Source organism: Homo sapiens, chromosome 21 (assembly GCF_000001405.40).
Source record: "Homo sapiens chromosome 21, GRCh38.p14 Primary Assembly".
Lineage (NCBI taxonomy): Eukaryota > Metazoa > Chordata > Mammalia > Primates > Hominidae > Homo > Homo sapiens.
The window spans coordinates 43,665,996-43,684,244 of NC_000021.9; the positions used below are offsets into that span (position 1 = coordinate 43,665,996).

The following is an 18,249-nucleotide window of genomic DNA, read 5'->3' on the forward strand; positions in this document are numbered from 1 at the left end:
TCAGGCTCAGGGCACTCCTTGTCCTTGCTGGGCAGCTACATTGGGATTTCCCTCCAAGGCTCTCCACCTTCAAGCAGGGTGTGGAGGGACTCTGTGGTCTGGGTGGGGCTTACCCCACGTGGAGAGGCGGCGGCTTCTGCCAATTCAGCAGAATTCCCTTGGCCACAGGACAGGTTCAAGAAAAGCCAAGTGACCCTCTGCAGGTAAAAATCTTCTTGCTCAGTCCTTAGGAGTTTCTAGCTCTCTCCTTACTGGACTTGAAGAGAACACACAGTTTGTACCTGCTCCCAGCCACCTTGTAACACAGGTGGAGCCTGTCTGAGAATGGAGACAATCTTTGGGGCAGCAGAGGTTGCAGTGGAGAAAAACAAGGTGCTGGCACCAGCAGTTGAGCTCCTGCACAAAGTTGTGCTTCACTTTCCCCCTTAAAACTAGCATGGCTGCCAGGCCTGGTGGCTCACGCCTGTAATCCCAGCACTATGGGAGGCCAAGGTGGGGGGATCATGTGGTCAAGAGACTGAGACCATCCTGGCCAACATGGCGAAACCCCGTCTCTATTAAAAACTACAAAACTTAGCTGGGTGCGGTGGCAGGTGCGTGTAATCCCAGCTACGTGGGAGGCTGAGGCAGGAGAATCGCTTGAACCTGGGCAGCAGAGGTTGCAGTGAGCCGAGATTGCACCACTGCACTCCAGCCTGGGCGACAGAGTGAAACTGTCTCCAAAAAAAAAAAAAAAAAATCCTTAATAGCATGAAATATCCAATCTGTTTAGTTTTTCTCATCAAATGTTTTTTATGAGCAATCCAAATGAGGACCACCCACTGCATTTGGTTAATATGTCTGCCAAGACGCTCTTAAAATCTAACAGTTCTTACCCATCTTTTTCTGTACAGTTTATTTGTTGGGGACATAGGTCATATGCCTTGTAGAGTTTCACATATTTGGGGTTTGTTGACTGCATCCTGTTGTCTCACTTACCATGTTCCTCTGTCCCCTGTATTTCCTATAAACTAATATTAATAGTTAAGATTTGACACAGTTGGGTGTTTTTTTTTTTGACACTTACTTTTGTAAGAATACTTCATAGGTTGGTGCAGCGTTCTTCCTGTTGGCATCACCTCTGGCATCTGATGCGTGATTATTGCCTGTGCATGTTAATGATCGGTCGGTGGGTTTGGGTGTTGATGGTCTGACACATCCACTTTCAAGTTTCTTAATATCGTTTGTTTGTTTGTTTGTTTGTTTGTTTGAGAGACAGAGTTGCTCTGTTGCCCAGGTTGGAGTGCAGTGGCACGATTATAGCTTACTGCAGCCTCAAATTCCTGGGCTCAGGTCATCCTCCCACTTCAGCCACCTGAGTACTTGGGACTACAGGCACATGCCACCATGCTCTGCCAATTTTTTGGTTTTGTTGTTGGTGTGTGTGTGTGTGTGTTTAAGACAGGGTCTTGCTCTGTCGCCCAAGCTCCATGGAGTACAATGTTGTAGAGATTGGGTTTTGCTGTGTTGCCCAGGCTGGTCTCAAACTCCTGAGCTCAAGTGAGCCGCCACGCCTGGGTGATATCTTTTCATCTAATGTTTTAGCAGCTATTTATGATCCTTGCCCAAAGCCTTCAATTCACTGGGGATATATGTGGTCTTTGAACATGATTAAATATAAGTGCAGGTCACTGTGGCCAAGAAAAAAAAAGTTACTGCAATCATGACCGCAGTTGGCTCAGCTCTAGTGGGGTTTATTACTCATACCATACTTACATTATCCACGTGAGGATCCCCAGGCATGACTTGTTCATAACAAGAGGGCAAGAGAACCAGTTGGTACATCTTCTCTCCAACTGTGAAAGGGAATATACTTTAATAAACTAGTTTTATGTTAGTTCCTGATATCCTGGTTTTACATGGAAAACTATCATAAAAGAATCAAAATGCAGGCCGGGTGTGGTGGCTCATGCCAGTATTCCCAGCACTTTGGGAGGCCGAGGCCAGCAGATCACCTGAGGTCAGGAGTTCCGGACCAGCCTGGCCAACATGGTGAAACCTTGTCTCCACTAAAAATACAAAAAATTAGCCAGGCGTGGTGGCACGCGCCTATAATCCCAGCTACTCTTGAGGCTGAGGCAGGAGAATCGCTTGAACCCAGGAGGCAGAGGTTGCAGTGAGCCTAGATTGTGCCACTGCACTCCAGCCTGGGCAACAGAGCAAGACTCTATCTCAAAAAAAAAAAAAAGAATCAAAATGTACCATTATAAAATTGTTGATGGGAGAAAGACCCTTAGCAAAGTGGAAATCAATACCTGTAAATTAAGGTTAACGCACTCTGAATACACTAAACAAACTTTGGTCCATTAAAAGGTCTTTTTGTCACTTTTTTTTTTTTTTTTAAGAGACGGACTCTCGCTCTGTCGCCCAGGCTGGAGTGCAGTGGCGCAATCTCAGCTCACTGCAAAGTGCAAACTCCACCTCCTGGGTTCACACCATTCTACTGCCTCAGCCTCTGGAGTAGCTGGGACTATAGGCGCCCGCCACCATACCCGGCTAATTTTTTTTGTATTTTTAGTAGAGACGGGGTTTCACTGTGTTAGTGAGGATGGTCTTGATCGTCTGACCCCGTGATCCGCCCACCTCAGCCTCCCAAAGTGCTGAGATTACAGGCATGAGCCACCGCGTCTGGCCCTTTTTGTCACTTTTTAAGCATCTTTTGGAGTATTAAGATCACATTGATTCTAAATATTTGTTTGCATTCATCTAGTTTATAGCACTTTGTTGCTCCAAAAGATTTCTCCTAGGATCTCCTAGTAAAATCCTAATAAAGACCATTTGTAACACACATCAAGACTTGAGGATTCTGTTTGTGTTCTAATTTCATGTATCCATAGGCTCGGAAACTCCAAGACTGTACACCTACCTTATCATTTTGTGATTCTTTATGTCAGTCAGCAAATACTTTATGACACCTGGGGTCTACTCAGGAGATTTAAGGCTGAACGAGACTGGTCACTCAATCATAGATCATGAAGGCAGAGGTAGAGCCCTGAGTAGCTAGAGTCAGAACAAAGCCAACCCTGGTGATGCTGCAGTAAATGATCACCGTTACAGGGAGGGTGATTGACAAAGCCAACCTGGTGATGCCACAGTAAATGATCACCGTTGCAGGGAGGGTGATTGACAAAGCCAACCTGGTGATGCCACAGTAAATGATCACCGTTGCAGGGAGGGTGATTGACAAAGCCAACCTGGTGATGCCACAGTAAATGATCACCGTTACAGGGAGGGTGACTGGGAGGCAGCCACTTTTGACCTTATACTAGGATCCTTAAAAGGTAATTTTTGCAAAAATATTCCAAAGCAGCGTCAGTGTCCCCAGGCCCTTTCCTAGGCCTTTGACTTTCAGATGTACTGTTTGGAGCTCCTGTGTCCTCAGCCTGGCTGGTTTTCTGTTCCTCGGAAGTGGGGCTGCCCGTTGCTGGGGCTTCATATGACTTGAGCAGGTCCCCCGCATCTCTTGTAAGATTTGCAGTTTTACTTCACAAGACCAGCGAAAATGTCAGTGTGCAGGATGGCTGCACGTGGTGGGCGGGGAGGGCGTTGATGAGGAGCCGATTTCATAAGTGGCCACTTTGTTCATGAATTTTGTGTTGTGATGACATTTGCTTCCTCACGCTGAGGCCGGGCCACCACTGCCACCCTACCCTGTAGCTGATAAAGCTGCAGGTACAGTAGTAATTTATTTGTGTTTCTTTTATAACAATAAGGAAATGTTTGCTTCAATTTTTTAAAAAGACGTGCAAACGAAAGAGAATTAAAATGTATGTGATACTTCACCACTTTCTAAACTTGAAGAAAAGAGATGCATAGACTCTAAGATGTTTGTATTGTTTTGCCTTCCAGGAGGTTTCAGTCAGGAAGAACTTCTGAAAATCTGGAAGGGGCTCTTCTACTGCATGTGGGTGCAGGATGAACCCCTTCTACAGGTAACATGCGTTCCCTTTGTCATGCTCCCGGGTTCTTGCTGTGGATGGATAAGAGACTTGATCACTCATGCTGTGCCAGTCCCCCGATACACTGACGCACACTGACAGTCATGCTTCAAGGAGTCATTTTCGTACCTCTTGTCCATACAGAAAGGGATGCAGGGTCAACACAGTTAGGTGAATTGTCTTTTCAAATAAAAGGAAAGATGTGCATTCGTTGTCAATTTACTATTTCTCTGTAAAATTTCATAGGTTCCATGCTAGGTTTTACATTACTTAAAGTTTCTCTCTTCTGGTAAGTTTATTTTTTGTGGTCAAGGATGGCATGACAGGAGCACTAACTAGTCAAGACCCTGTGAAACCCAGGAGAGGGCAGCCGCGTCACTGGGCTTCGGGTTCCATGGAGAGCAGCAGTAGCGCTCAGCGAAAGCCTCCCTGTTAAAGCCGAGTGCGCCTGCGCAGTCACCCAAACGCGCAGCAGGCTCGGTCTCTCTGTGCGGGGCCTGCTGAGCCCGCTAAGCCCACCACCAAAGCCAACACTAAAGATGTGACTTTCACTTTTTAAAAGCTTTGTTCTGACCCATGAAAGTAGATCCGATCTGCCTCTGTAGAGGGAGAGCAGGCTTGTCCAACCCACAGCCACATGTGGCCCAGGATGGCTTTGAATGCAGCCCAACACAAATTCGGAAACTTTCTTAGGACCTTATGAGATTTTTTTTTTTAAGCTCTTCACTATTACTAGTGTTAGTGTATACTGTGTGTGGCCCAAGACAGTTCTTCCAGTGTGACCCAGGGAAGGCAAAAGACTGGACACCCCTGAGGTAGAGGAACCAGCCTTGAGAAGTGCTTGCAAGTCTCTGATGCAGATGACAGGTCCTCAGGGCAAGATTTTACTTTTCTGGGTTTTAATGTGCAGCCTTGCCACTTCTCCCGTGCTGCGTAATAACTTGTTTTAATTTATTTTTATTTTACTGAACATATTTTGAGTAGGAGCAGGGCAAAATATTTTTATATTACATTCAAAAGTAACAACCAACAGCTTTAGTGGAGGAAGAAAACCAATGGACAGAAATCTCATTTTCCCACGAAGGAAAACAGACCGGGTGTGGTGTGAGTCAGACTGATGAGGAGTGTGCTTTTCTCACGGAACCTCAGAAGAGAGGGCGTCTCCCCAGAGTGAGCCTGCTGCACCTCAGCAGGGCATGCTCTCTCAGGGACCCCTTCACCCAGGACAGAGCCCAGAAGGCTGAGTTTACCTTCACATTCCACCTTGTCTCTGAGCAAGCTGTAGGGAGGACTTTCCCATGGCGTGCAGTGAGCATCCCCAGCATCTCACCTCTGTGAGGTCTGCCCTGCTGTCTTTGTGTTTCACATCATTTCTGGGATTATGATGAAGTTTTCTTTTTTTTTTTTTTTTTTTACAGAGTTTCACTCTGTTGCCCAGGCTGAAGTGCAGGGGTGCCATCATGGCTCACTACAGCCCCAACCTCCCTATTGCTCAGCTGATCCTCCTGCCTCAGCCACCCGAGTAGCTGGGACTACAGGTGCACGCCTCCATGCCTGGCTAATTTTTGTATTTTTTGTAGGGACTGGGTCTCATTGTGTTGCCTAGGCTGGCGTTGAACTCCTGGACTCGAGCGATCCACCCGCCTCGGCCTCCCAAAGTGCTCGGGCTCCCATTACAGGCATGAGCTGCCCAGCCCAGCTTAGATGGGGGTTTTTTGGTTGTTGTTGTTGTTTTGAGATGGAGTCTAGCTCTGTCACCCAGGCTGGAGTGCAATGGCATGATCTTGGCTCACTGCACCCTCTACCTCCGAGTTCAAGCAATTCTGTCTCAGCCTCTCGAGTAGCTGGAACTACAGGCACACGCCACCACGCCTGACTAATTTTTGAATTTTTAGTAGAGATGTGGGGAGTGCCATCTTGGTCAGGCTGGTCTTGAACTCCTGACCTCAGGTGATCCACCTGCCTCGGCCTCCCAAAGTGCTAGGATTACAGGCATGAGCCACTGCACGTGGCCAGATATAGTTATAAAGCCAGGAACTGATAACTAATTTATTTCATCTCTAGTTCATCTGAACTGATAATTAGAGATGCTTTTTTAAACATGTAGCTTAACACAGTTCTTGCAGACATACCAAGTTAGCATAATAGTCCGTCAATATTGGAACTTACACATTTGATAAAATTCAGATATTCGGATACATACTTCTTAGTGGAAGTGACAAGAGGGGCAGACCTTCCCACGAGCGGAAGTGGGAGAAGGAAGCAGGCCGCGGCACAGGCATCTCATGTTGCCCCACGATAACCCCCATGTTTCTCCCCAACCCCGCCTCTGCAGGAAGAGCTCGCCAACACCATTGCACAGCTAGTCCATGCTGTTAACAACTCAGCGGCTCGTAAGTCCTGTTGTTTCTTCTCCTTCCTTCCAAGTTTTCCGACTTGCTAGTTTAATGGGAACCTTGTGCCGGTATTGTGTAGATGTCAGGGGACAAGCCATTCCTGTTTTTAAAAGCTGTGATAAACTTAGTCATTGACTTGGTGAGAGGGCACAGTGTCTTGGGGAGAATCAATTTGACATCTCAAAGATTTCAGAAAATGCTTTTAGAAATAACAATCCTCCAGAATCTTCAAATTCTGAGTTACTTTAACACTTGGAGCCTGGAGAGCCAGATGCAGGGTCCACGGTGACCTCTGGATGCCAGGTTCGTCTTCCCCAAGAGCAGAGCCGTCACTGGTAATAAATACATAGAAGACACCACCGGTCACAGACTATGAAGTAACTCCTCTCAACCATAGAGAAAAAAAATTAGTTAGGGTGCTTCTGTGTCAGGCGTTGATTGCTTATAAAGGAAGAAAAAGGTAGCCGACTTCGTTTGTTCTGCTTAATGCTCTTCAGAAAAGCATCCTAATGATTTCAACCACCCCCAGTGGTGCTCTGAATATTAGCTGACTCATATTGAACAAAATTCTACATATGATGTATAATAGATTTACAAAGATGAAAAAAGAATTGTGCAAAAAGAAATAAAGCCAAAAAATCAACAAAAATTGTTTTTGAATAAAAAAGTGCTAGTTCTGTGGGTCAGAAGAGAAAAATTCAGTGTTTTGTACCGTAGCTCACCCAGATGCCACCTATAATCAGACAAAAATATGAGTTTCTATATGGATTATATAAGTGTCAGAATTAATGGTTTTGAACTGATTGTGAGGTACCAGTGCAGTAGGAAGAGTTACTAGAAGTGGAACAAGGAGTCTTGATTTTAAAAGAAACGTGGCTTTGCAGTGGATAAAGGAAAAATGCTCCAGAGAGCGCTCAAATCTGACATTGCAATGTTGCCAGCCCTTCCGGTTATTCTGTTTTTATTTAAATTCAAAAGACCAAGGCCAGGCACGGTGGCTCACGCCTGTAATCCCAGCACTTTGGGAGGCCGAGGTGGGTGGAACACCTGAGGTCAGGAGTTTGAGACCAGCCTGGCCAACATGGTTAAACCCCGTCTTTACTAAAAATACAAATATTAGCCGGGTGTGGTGGTGCACACCTGTAATCCCAGCTACTCGGGAGGCTGAGGCAGGAGAATCACTTGAACCCAGGAGGCAGAGGTTGCAATGAGCTGAGATCATGCCATTGCACTCCAGCCTGGGCCACAGAGTGGGACCCCGTCTCCAAAAAAAAAAAAAAAAAAAAGTAAAAGATCTGCACAGTCTAAGTGATGTTTAATAAATAAGTGTAAAAGAAATGATTGAGTATATTTAATTATCAACAGATTTTCTAGCTGCCCAAGAATTACTGAGAAAAGTGAATAATAAATAATGCTAGTTTGTTCCTCTTCATTATTTTCTTGCTATATGGTAGTATGTTGATGTGGAAGCCAAGTATTTAGAGCCTTTTGTTCACTGCAGAACACCTGTTCATTCAGACCTTTTGGCAAACCATGAATCGAGAATGGAAAGGAATAGACAGGCTACGCCTGGACAAATACTATATGGTAAGATCTGCCGCAGTTACTTCAAAAACTCCTGGGAAGAAAAGAATGTCCTTTATCTTAAAAACAATGGGAAGGTTTATTTGTGAAGCAAAACAAGCCACAGGCTTAGTGTGAAGGAAGAATTTGAATGTGTCCTGGAAAGCTTCTCTGTTTTGGCTTTTGCAGTTCTTAAGGATGAGTTTGGGGAGCATTAGTGAATACGTTGGGTATTTTTTGAGACAGAGTCTCTCTTGCTCTGCTCCCCAGGTTGGAGTGCAGTGGTGCGATCTCAGCTCACTGCGACCTCCGCCTCCTGGGTTCAAGTGATTCTCATGCCTCGGCCTCCTGAGTAGCTGGGATTACAGACGCGCACCACCATGCTTGGCTAATTTTTGTATTTTTAGTAGAGATAAGGGTTTGCCATGTTGGCCAGGGTGGTCTTGAACTCCTGGCCTCAAATGATCTGCCCACCTCAGCCTCCCAAAATGCTGGGGTTACAGGCATGAGCCACTGTTCTTGGCTATGAATATGTTTTTTGATCTAGAAGGTAAATATGACTGTTGTGAATATTTTTTTACTTTTGGGATCCAGGCCATAACAATTTCATTGGTCCCTTCATTCTGCTGAGCTGATTAATATTTCTTACCTTTCCTTTTTTTTTTTTTTTTTTTTTTTTTTAAACAAAAATTGCCTTTCTTTAGCTGATTCGTCTGGTCCTGAGGCAGTCCTTTGAAGTCTTGAAGCGAAATGGCTGGGAAGAAAGGTCAGTAAACCATTTGAGTTAGCATGTGGTAGCCTTAAAACTTAAAAGGTAGTAGAGTGTCAAGTTTTCTGAACTTGTAGAGTACCAATGAGAAGCTCGATACATCGTTACCTATAGAGAATTGAAATCCAGTAGAAGGCATAAAACAGTTAAGTATATATGACAGTTAACATTTTATCCTGATTTAAGTGATTGCTTTTTTCCTTGTAAAATGATTTCAGCCTTGCATTGATTGTTAGGCTGTGTAGGTTCTAGACGGAGTATTTTTGTTTCTCTTTGGGAAGTGGGACGTGTTGGCATACTGTCATTCACAGAAGCATGCGTTTGGTTCTTTAGCCGAATCAAGGTTTTCTTGGATGTCCTGATGAAGGAGGTCCTGTGTCCTGAGAGTCAGTCTCCTAATGGAGTGAGATTCCACTTCATTGATATTTACCTGGATGAACTCTCCAAAGTCGGGGGGAAGGAGGTAAGCAGCTGCCGACAGGCTGCCCACGGGGTGAGGGGGCCGCCAGTGTTCGCAGTAGTCGCCAGTGAAGTGCTGTGGGGTGGCCCTTCGCATGACCAGCGACTGTAGCAGCGTGAATTGCTTCAGTCCTGTCTGGGAATGTGTCCTAAGCAGCTGGTGGGATGGGATTTGTGCACTGAGGATGTACATGACAGTCTTACCTGTAAAACGGAATTGAAAGCAACCTACAGACTCCACTAAAGAACTCACTAACACGGGGGAGTACTCAGGATCTAGGGAGCTTTATAAAGCGCTAGGAAAAGCTATGCAAATGGTAGACATTTTTAAGGTATATACTCATAAATAGACAAAAGGCTGGAAAGGAAACATACATTTTTTAGTATGCAAATGATTCTCTGAATGTGGGAATGTGCACAGATTTTACTTTTCTTTCACAGGTGTTTTGCAGGGAACATGTATTTTTTTGATTAAAAGAAAATATGTTATATTCAAAACAATAATTCTTTTGTCTCACACTTGGAGGCACTGTCCCTGTTACCCCTCTTGTAGAGGAAGTATATGTATGTCCTGTATCAGGTTTGTCCAGCCCGCAGCCTGAGAGCTGCATGGGGCCCAGGGCAGCTTTGAATGTGGCCCAACACAAATTTATAAACTTTCTTAAAATATGAGGGGTATTTTGCATTTTATTTTATTTTATTTTATTTTATTTTATTTTATTTTATTTTATTTTATTTTTAGCTCATCAGCTGTTGTTAGTGTTTGTGTATTTTAGGTGTGCCCCAAGACAGTTATTCTTCCATTATGGCTTGGGGAAGTCACAAGATTGGACACCCGTGTTGTATATGTTGGGCATATAGGATAGTGCAGGTCAGGCTGGGTGGCTTTCTCCAGCCACTGCACTAAGATACCAAGTAGCTGGAGGGCGGCCTCAGTCTTCAGCCTGGCTCCAGGCTTCTGTGGCATTCCACAGGGGCGCTTTGGGGCTGTGTGAGACAGGCATTGCTTGGTCTAACTCCACCTTTGTAAAAGATGGGAATGGTCCCTTTTTCAAGGACATGTCAAGAAGGGAAAGGCTCTTTCTCAATTTTTCCCTTTTTCTAAATTACAGCTTTTAGCAGATCAGAATCTCAAGTTTATCGATCCATTCTGCAAAATTGCTGCGAAGACGAAGGAGTAAGTGATTCCCCTGTTCGTTCCTCCTGCTCCGTGGCATTTGCTCATGGGAGTTACTTGCCGTCGTGCAGCCTGGCACAGGGTACCCAGGACACTGCTTCACAGCAGAGAGCGGCTGGAGAAGACAGCCGAAGCTTTGAGCAGTGATTTGGCTCTTCTAGCTTCAGTATTTGCCTCACTCATTCCAGGAATGCCCTCCCACACCCAAAGATCTGACCGCTGGGCGTCCCGTGCCTGTCGGGTGGCACTTAGGCAGTTCCTCTCAGATGCTTGCTGGCCCGTGGGGGCCACTCCAGACCACAGCAACGTGTGCAGGGCTTCCCTCTGTGCCCCTGAAGCCAGAAGGCCAGGCCGTTTGTTCTCATCACATGCTCTCCGCTGTGCTTCTACCCTCAGCCACACCCTGGTACAGACCATAGCTCGGGGTGTCTTCGAAGCTATCGTAGATCAGTCTCCTTTTGTGCCTGAAGAGACGATGGAGGAACAGAAGACAAAAGTGGGTGATGGTGACCTCTCTGCTGAGGAGATACCTGAAAATGAGGTATCCTTGAGAAGAGCTGTCAGTAAAAAGAAGACAGGTAGGAGGATGTTCTTGGTCAGTGTAGCTTTCTTTCTGCTAAAATCCTCCTCAGACAAACAGTTTTTAATACATTTGTTGGCATCTTACTGAATGCAACCTAGAGTTGATGGCTCTGCCTCAGCCCCTCCCAAGAAAGGCAGCAGAGGTGGGTTCATTGTGCCTGGGGGGTGCCTAGCGGGGCTCTGGGGAGACCTGAGATCTGTCCCATGTGGCATACACACATTTCTGTACCTCTCAGGATCTCAGGACTCTCCTCGAGGATTTTACCATTGTCACTGCTAGTGCTTTTTGTTTGCTTTGTTGTTTTTTGTTTGACACGCTAACACCTTAGCATGCATGGCCTCATTTCTACGGGTTACTCGAGGGACGTACGCTTGTTTCTGTGGCTGTCCTTTCTCAACTCATGGCTTCCTTCAGGGAATGTTTTTCTTTTTCTTGGGATGTTTAAATGCCTACTGTGTACTGACATAATTCTTACTACTGTTTTGTGTCTGGACTTAATGTAGAATGTGCATTTGAAGTTGCAGGCCCATCCAAACTCTCACCACAGTGCTTTATGGCATCTGAATGCACAAAATAAGGGAAATGGTTAGATCACAGCTTACCCATGCTTTTGAAGTGTTGTATACCCATTTAAAAGCAAAGCTCCTAAAAACTAAGGACCAAAGGAAATGTGACAGACATATATATATATTTTTTAAAGCAGGGTACAAACTCTACATAGAAGGAGTCTGATTTGTTGTTTGGGTTTTCTTTAATTATTATGGCTATATAATAGTTGTGCATCTGATTTGTTTTTAAACGTTTATTTGTGCTTTTATTTTAAGTGAGAACATAAAATGTTTGGTTTTCCATTCCTGAGTTACTTCACTTAGAATAATGGTCTCCAACTCTAGCCAGGTTGCTGTGGATACCATTATTTCATTCCTTTTTATGGCTGAGTAGTATTCACGGTGTATATTCCGCATTTTCTTTGTCCACTCATTGGTCAATGGGCATTCAGGCCGGTTCCATGTTTTTGCAGCTGTGGATTGTGCTGCTATAAACAAGCGTATGCAAGTGTCTTTTTCATATAGTGGCTTCTTTTCCTCTTGGTAGATACCCTGCAGTGGAACTGCTGGATCAAATGGTGGATCTACTTTTAGTTCTTTAAGGAATCTCCACACTGTTTTCCACAGTGGTTGTACTAGTTGACATTCCCACCAGCAGTGTAGAAGTCTTCCCTGTTCACCACATCTGTGCCAACATCTTTTTTTTTTGAGATGGAGTTTTGCTTCTTGTCACCCAGGCTGGAGTGCAGTGGTGCCATCTCAGTTCACTGCAGCCTCCACCTCCCAGGTTCAAGCAATTCTCTTGCCTCAGCCTCCTGAGTAACTGGGATTACAGACACCTGCCACCAGGCCCAGCTAATTTTTTGCATTTTAGTAGAGATGGGGTTTGATCATGTTGGCCAGGGTGGTCTCAACCTCCTGACCTCAGGTGATCACCCACCTCGGCCTCCCAAAGTGCAGGGATTACAGGCATGAGCCACCGCGCCCGGCCACCAACATCTATTATTCTTTGATTTTTTAAATTATGGCCATTCTTGCTGGAGTGAGGTGGTATCTGATTATGGTTTTCATTTGCATTTCCGTGTGTTTGTTGACCATTTGTATATCTTCTTTTGAGAACTGTCTGTTCATTTCCTTAGCCCACTTTTTGATGGGATTGTTTTTTTCTTGCTGATTTGTTTGAGTTCCTTGTAGATTCTGGATATTAGTCCTTTGTTGGCTGCATAATTGGCAAATCTTTTCTCCCATTTTGTTTGTTTATTCTGCTGATTATTTCTTTTGCTGTGCAGAAGCTTTTTAGTTTAATTAAGTCACAGCTGTTTCTGTTTTCATTGCATTCACTTTTAGGTTCTTGGTCATGAACTCTTTACCTAAGCCGACATCTGGAAGAGTTTTTCTAATGCTATCTTCTACAATTTGTATGGTTTCAGGTCTTATATTTAAGTCTTTAATCCATCTTGAGTTGGTTTTTCTATAAGGTGAGAGATGAGGATCCAGTTTCATTCTTCTTGACAATTACCCCAGCACCATTTTTGAATAGGGTGTCCTTTCCCCACTTCGTTTTTGTTTGCTTGGTTGAGGATCAGTTGAGTGTAAGTATTTGGGTTTATTTCTGGGTTCTCCTGTTCCATTGGTCTACATGCCTATTTTTATACCAGTACCAGTACCATGCCATTATGGTGACTATGGCTTTATAGTATAGTTTGAAATCGAGTGTTCTGATGTCTCCGGGTTTTTGAGGGTTTTTTGTTTTTTTGTGTGTCTTTTTTTTTTTGGTGTTTTGGTGTTTTGGGTTTTTTTTGGCGGCGGGGAGGGGAGAGAGACAGAGTCTTGCTCTGTCGCCCAGGCTGGAGTGCAATAGTGCGATCTCAGCTCACTGCAACCTCTGCCTCCCATGTTCAAGCGATTCTCATGCCTCAACCTCCCTAGTAGCTGGAATTATAGGCGGGTGCCACCACGCCCAGCTAATATGTCTTTGTATTTTTAGTAGAGATGGGGTTTCACCATGTTGGCCAGGCTGATCTCGAACTCCTGACCTCAAGTGATCCACCAGCTTCAGCCTCCCAAAGTGCCGGGATTACAGGCATGAGCCACTACTCCCAGCCTCTAGATTTATTCTTTTTGCTTAGTCTTGCTTTGGCTATGCAGGCTCTTTTTTGATTCCATATGAATTTTAGGATTGTTTTTTCTAGTTCTGTGAAGAATGATGATGGTATTTTTATGGGCATTGTGTTGAATCTGTAGATTGCTTTTGCCAGTATGGTCGTTTTCACAATATTGATTCTACCCATCCGTGAGCATGGGATGTGCTTCTGTATTTCCATTTGTTTGTGTCATCAGTGACTTCTTTCAGCAGTGTTTTGTAGTTTTCCTTGTAGAGATCTTTCACATCCTTGGTTAGGTATATTCCTAAGGTTTTTGAGGTTTTGTTGTTTGTTTTGTTTTTTGTTGTCATTGTTGTTTTGGTAGGGGTTTTTTTGCAGCTGTTGTAGAAGGGAGTAAGTTCTTGATATGATTCTCAGCTTGGTCGTTGTTGGTGTATAGCCATCATACTGATTCATGTAAATTGGTTTTGTATCCTGAAACTTTGCTGAATTCATTTACCATTCTAGGAGCTTTTTGGGTGAGTGTTTAGGGTTTTCTAGGTATATGATTGTATCATCGGCAAACACGGACTTTGACTTCCTCTTTACCAGTTTGGATGCCGTTTATTTCTTTTCTGTGATTGCTCTGGCTAGGATTGTTCGTGCTTTTAAAAAATCTGGAAGGATAAACCAAAATGTTTTATTTATTTATTTAGAGACAGGGTCGGCCGGGCGCGGTGGCCCAGGCCCGTAATCCCAGCACTTTGGGAGGCGGAGACAGGTGGATTACGAGGTCAGGAGTTCGAGACCAGCCTGACCAACATGCTCAAACCCTGTCTCTACTAAAAATACAAAAAAAAAAATTAGCCAGGCATGGTGGCACATGCCTGTAACCCCAGCTACTCAGGAGGCTGAGGCAGGAGAATCACTTGAACCTGGGAGGCGGAGGTTGCAGTGAGCAGAGATCGAGCCACTGCACTCCAGCCTGGGCGACAGAGGGAGACGCCATCTCAAAAAAAAAAAAAGAGAGACAGTGTCTTGCTCTGTTGCCCAGGCTGCAGTGCAGTGGAGCAGTCATGGTTTATTGCGGCCTCAACCTCTTGGGCTCAAGTGATCCTCGCACTTCAGCCTCCCAAGTAGCTGGGACCACAAGCACACACCTCTTTATTTTTTGTAGAGACAGGGGTCTCACTATATTGCCCAGGCTGGTCTTAAACTGTTAGGCTTAAGCATTCCACCCACCTCAGCCTCCCAAAGTGCTGGGATTAAAGGCATGAGCCACCACACCTAGCCCAAAATGTTAGTATAGTTAGCTGTAGGTGGCAGAATTATGGGTGATTTCTGTTTCCTTTGTACTTCTCTATTTCCTACAGTGATTATATATTATATTTAATCAGAAAAAATCAAGCCGGTTGCAGTGGCTCATGCCTATAATCCCAGCACTCTGGGAAGCCCAGGCAGTCGGATAACTTGAGGTCAGGAGTTCGAGACCAGCCTGGCCAACATGGTGAAACCAAGTCTCTACCAAAAAGTACAAAAATTAGCCAGGTATGGTGGCGGTCGCCTATAGTCCCAGCTACTTGGGAGGCTGAGGTGGGAGAGAATCACTTGAACCCAGGAGGTGGAGGCTGAAGTGAGCCAAGATCGTGCCACTGCACTCCAGCCTGGGCAACCAAGCAAAACACTGTCTCAAAAAATAAATAAATAAACAGATAGATAGATAGATAGATAGATAGATAGATAGATAGATAGAATCAAGAACCTTTTTTTTCTTTTTAATTTTTAGACCTGGTGGACGGGAAGTAATTTTTTTTTTTTTTTGAGATGGAGTTTCGCTCTTGTCGCCCAGGCTGGAGTGCAATGGCGCAATCTCAGCTCACTGCAACCTCTGCCTCCCGGGTTCAAGCAATTCTCCTGCCTCAGCCTCCCAAGTAGCTGGGATTACAGGCATGCACCACCATGCTTAGCAAAATTTGTATCTATCTTTTGGTCAGGCTGGTCTCGAACTCCCGACCTCAGTTGATCCGCCCGCCTGGGCCTCCCAAAGTCTTGGAATTACAGACAGGCGTGAGCCACCATGCCCGGCCAAGAATCTTTAAAAGAAAGAAAAAATACTCTGGCCAGGCACGGTGGCTCACACCTGTAATCCCATCACTTTGGGAGCCTGAGGTGGGAGGATCACTTGAGCCTAGGAGTTGGAGACCAGCTTGGGCAACATAACAAGACCTTGACTTTACAAAAATTTTAAAATTAGCCAAGCGTGATGGCACATGCCTGTGGTCTCAGCTACTCAGGAGGCTGAGCTGGGAGAATCAGTTGAACCTGGGAGGGTGAGGCTGCCGTGAATCATGATCGTGTCACTGCACTGCGTCCTGGGCAACAGAGCTACCAGCGACCCTGTCTCAAAAAAGAAAGAATAAAAGAAATAGTCTAGTCTAGGTGTGGAGACTCATGCCTATAATCCTAGTACTTTGGAAGGCCAAGATGGGAAGATCACTTGAGCCCAGGAGTTTGAGACCAGCTTGGGCAACATAATGAGACCCCCATCTCTAAAACAAAACGAAAAAAAGAAATAGTCTGATTTTAAATTTGGTGTAGATAACAGAGTTGACTAAGGACCTGGAGCAAATTTTATGTGGTCATGGGAGTAGTCTCTGGGTCCCTCCGCTCCCCACATTTCTGTCGCCTAACCTGGACACAGACTCTCTTCCAAGTGCAGTTCCGGACGTTCCCTCCCAGTTGCGTTCATGAAACGTGTGCTGCGCCTGCCCCATCCTCCCCAGGCCTTGCCCTGATGTCGCACCACTAATAAGCTTAGAGGGTTCCAGAAACAGTACACGTTTAAAATAATTTTGAGTTCTCCTGAGTCTGTTTAATCTGCTTCTTCATAGGCTGTAACACTCTGAATTTTTTAAGTGCTAAAAGTTGCATTAATATTGACTTGTGCTTCCTGAAGCATGCTCGTGAAAAGTGACTGTACTGCTGTGACAGGTTCTCACCAAGGTCCTAAACTGACCTGAGACTAGGGCCGGATTCCTGCGTCCATGCTCCTACCCCTGGTGGTCCAGGGCGATGCCGTGTCCCATCCGCTTGCCTGCGTCCCTGGACAGGAGCTTCCCATGCACCGCAGCCTTCGTCCTAACGGGACCACGTGTGGGGGAGGAAATCATCGAAGGCAGCAGGGAATTGGGGTTTTATGGGTACAAAAGGCAAAACATGTGCTTTTTCCCAGACTTACCTTCATTCCCATAGCCTGAACAATCAAAATGTCCTGGGAAATTATAAATGGCTTTGCAGAGTTTTTCTCCTTAAATAAATTTTCTTTCATTTTTTCTTTTTTTGAGACGGAGTCTCGTTGTCGCCCGGGCTGGAGTGCAGTGGCATGATCTTGGCTCACTGCAACCTCTGCCTCCTGGGTTCAAGCGATTCTCATGCCTCAGCCTCCCAAGTAGCTGGGATTACAGGCACCCGCAACCACGCCCAGCTAATTTTTGTATTTTTAGTGGAGACGGGGTTTCGCCATGTTGCCCAGGCTGATCTAGAATTCCTGGCCTCAAGTGATCCACCCACCTCAGCCTCCCAAAGTGCTAGAATTACAGGCGTGAGCCACCGTGCCCAACCTTCTTTTTTGCTAAGAGACACCTAATTAGACAGTGGCTCCTGTGGAAGTAGTCACTTCTGTGTATTTGATATGTCAATAATTTGGTCTTTGGGTATATTTTGACAGCACTGGGCAAAAACCATTCCAGAAAAGATGGACTCAGTGATGAAAGAGGAAGAGATGACTGTGGAACCTTTGAGGACACAGGGCCCCTTCTCCAGGTGGGTAGCAGTTGTTGCTTTTTATAGAATATAGATTTGCTGTGGAGTAGCCTGACTAGAGAATTAGGGTCACAGCTAGTTAAGCTATAAGGCCTGAAGCGTAAACTCCTTTTTAATCCCTTCAGTCACTAAATGTCACCTTCTGAAGAATAACCTTATTGGAGACAAGGAAATGTAAATATGATGGAGTTTTGAAAGAGATAGTAGCACTTATTTTGAATGGCTAAGCTCTCCTCTGTTCTCTACCACAGAGCCAGCTCTAGTGGCACTTTTCAAATAAAAAAAAGTTTGCCAAGTACAGATTGCAAATCTAGATTAAATTTAAAATTTAATTACAAGCTCACGCCTGTAATCCCAGCACTTTGGGAGGCCCAGGCGGGCAGATCACCTGAGGTCAAGAGTTCGAGACCAGCCTGGCCAACACAGTGAAACCCGTCTCTACTAAAAATACAAAAATTAGCCCGACACCGTGGCGCACGCCTGTAATCCCAGCTACTCGGGAGGCTGAGGCAGGAAAATCATTTGAACCCGGGAGGTGGAGGTTGCAGTGAACTGAGATCATGCCACTGCACTCCAGCCTGGGTGACAGACTCTGGCTCAAAAAAAAAAAAAAAAAAGCACACCCAGGTAAATTTTGTTGTGGGTACTCTATCACAATTTTTTTTTTTTAAGAATTGCTTACCCAGCTTTTCCCAAGAATAATTTTTTTTTTTTTTGAGACAGAGTCGCACTCTGTCTCCCAGGCTGGAGTGCGGTGGCTCGATCTCGGCTCACTGCAAGCTCTGCCTCCTGAGTTCACGCCATTCTCCTGCCTCAGCCTCCCGAGTAGCTGGGACTACAGGCGCCCGCCATCACGCCCGGCTAATATTTT

At 45.2% G+C, this 18,249-nt stretch overlaps 1 protein-coding gene across 1 annotated transcript in view, besides 1 other annotated feature; it reads left to right on the plus strand.

Annotated features, from left to right (window-relative positions):
- RRP1B (ribosomal RNA processing 1B) overlaps positions 1–18,249 on the plus strand; it is a 36,520-nt gene that overhangs the window by 6,436 nt on the left and 11,835 nt on the right. The window contains exons 2-9 of the mRNA NM_015056.3: positions 3,889–3,971; positions 6,313–6,370; positions 7,875–7,960; positions 8,641–8,702; positions 9,039–9,168; positions 10,277–10,341; positions 10,738–10,919; positions 17,284–17,378. Of these exons, the coding sequence (NP_055871.1) occupies positions 3,889–3,971; positions 6,313–6,370; positions 7,875–7,960; positions 8,641–8,702; positions 9,039–9,168; positions 10,277–10,341; positions 10,738–10,919; positions 17,284–17,378 (761 nt within the window). The remainder of the gene's footprint in view (positions 1–3,888; positions 3,972–6,312; positions 6,371–7,874; positions 7,961–8,640; positions 8,703–9,038; positions 9,169–10,276; positions 10,342–10,737; positions 10,920–17,283; positions 17,379–18,249) is intronic.
- Positions 8,245–8,744: an enhancer, noted in NCBI's record as "H3K27ac hESC enhancer chr21:45094121-45094620 (GRCh37/hg19 assembly coordinates)". NCBI's record gives its function as "activates a minimal SCP1, AML or CMV promoter by ChIP-STARR-seq in primed H9 embryonic stem cells {active_cell/tissue: H9 hESC(primed)}" and the evidence as "EXISTENCE:reporter gene assay evidence [ECO:0000049][PMID:30033119]".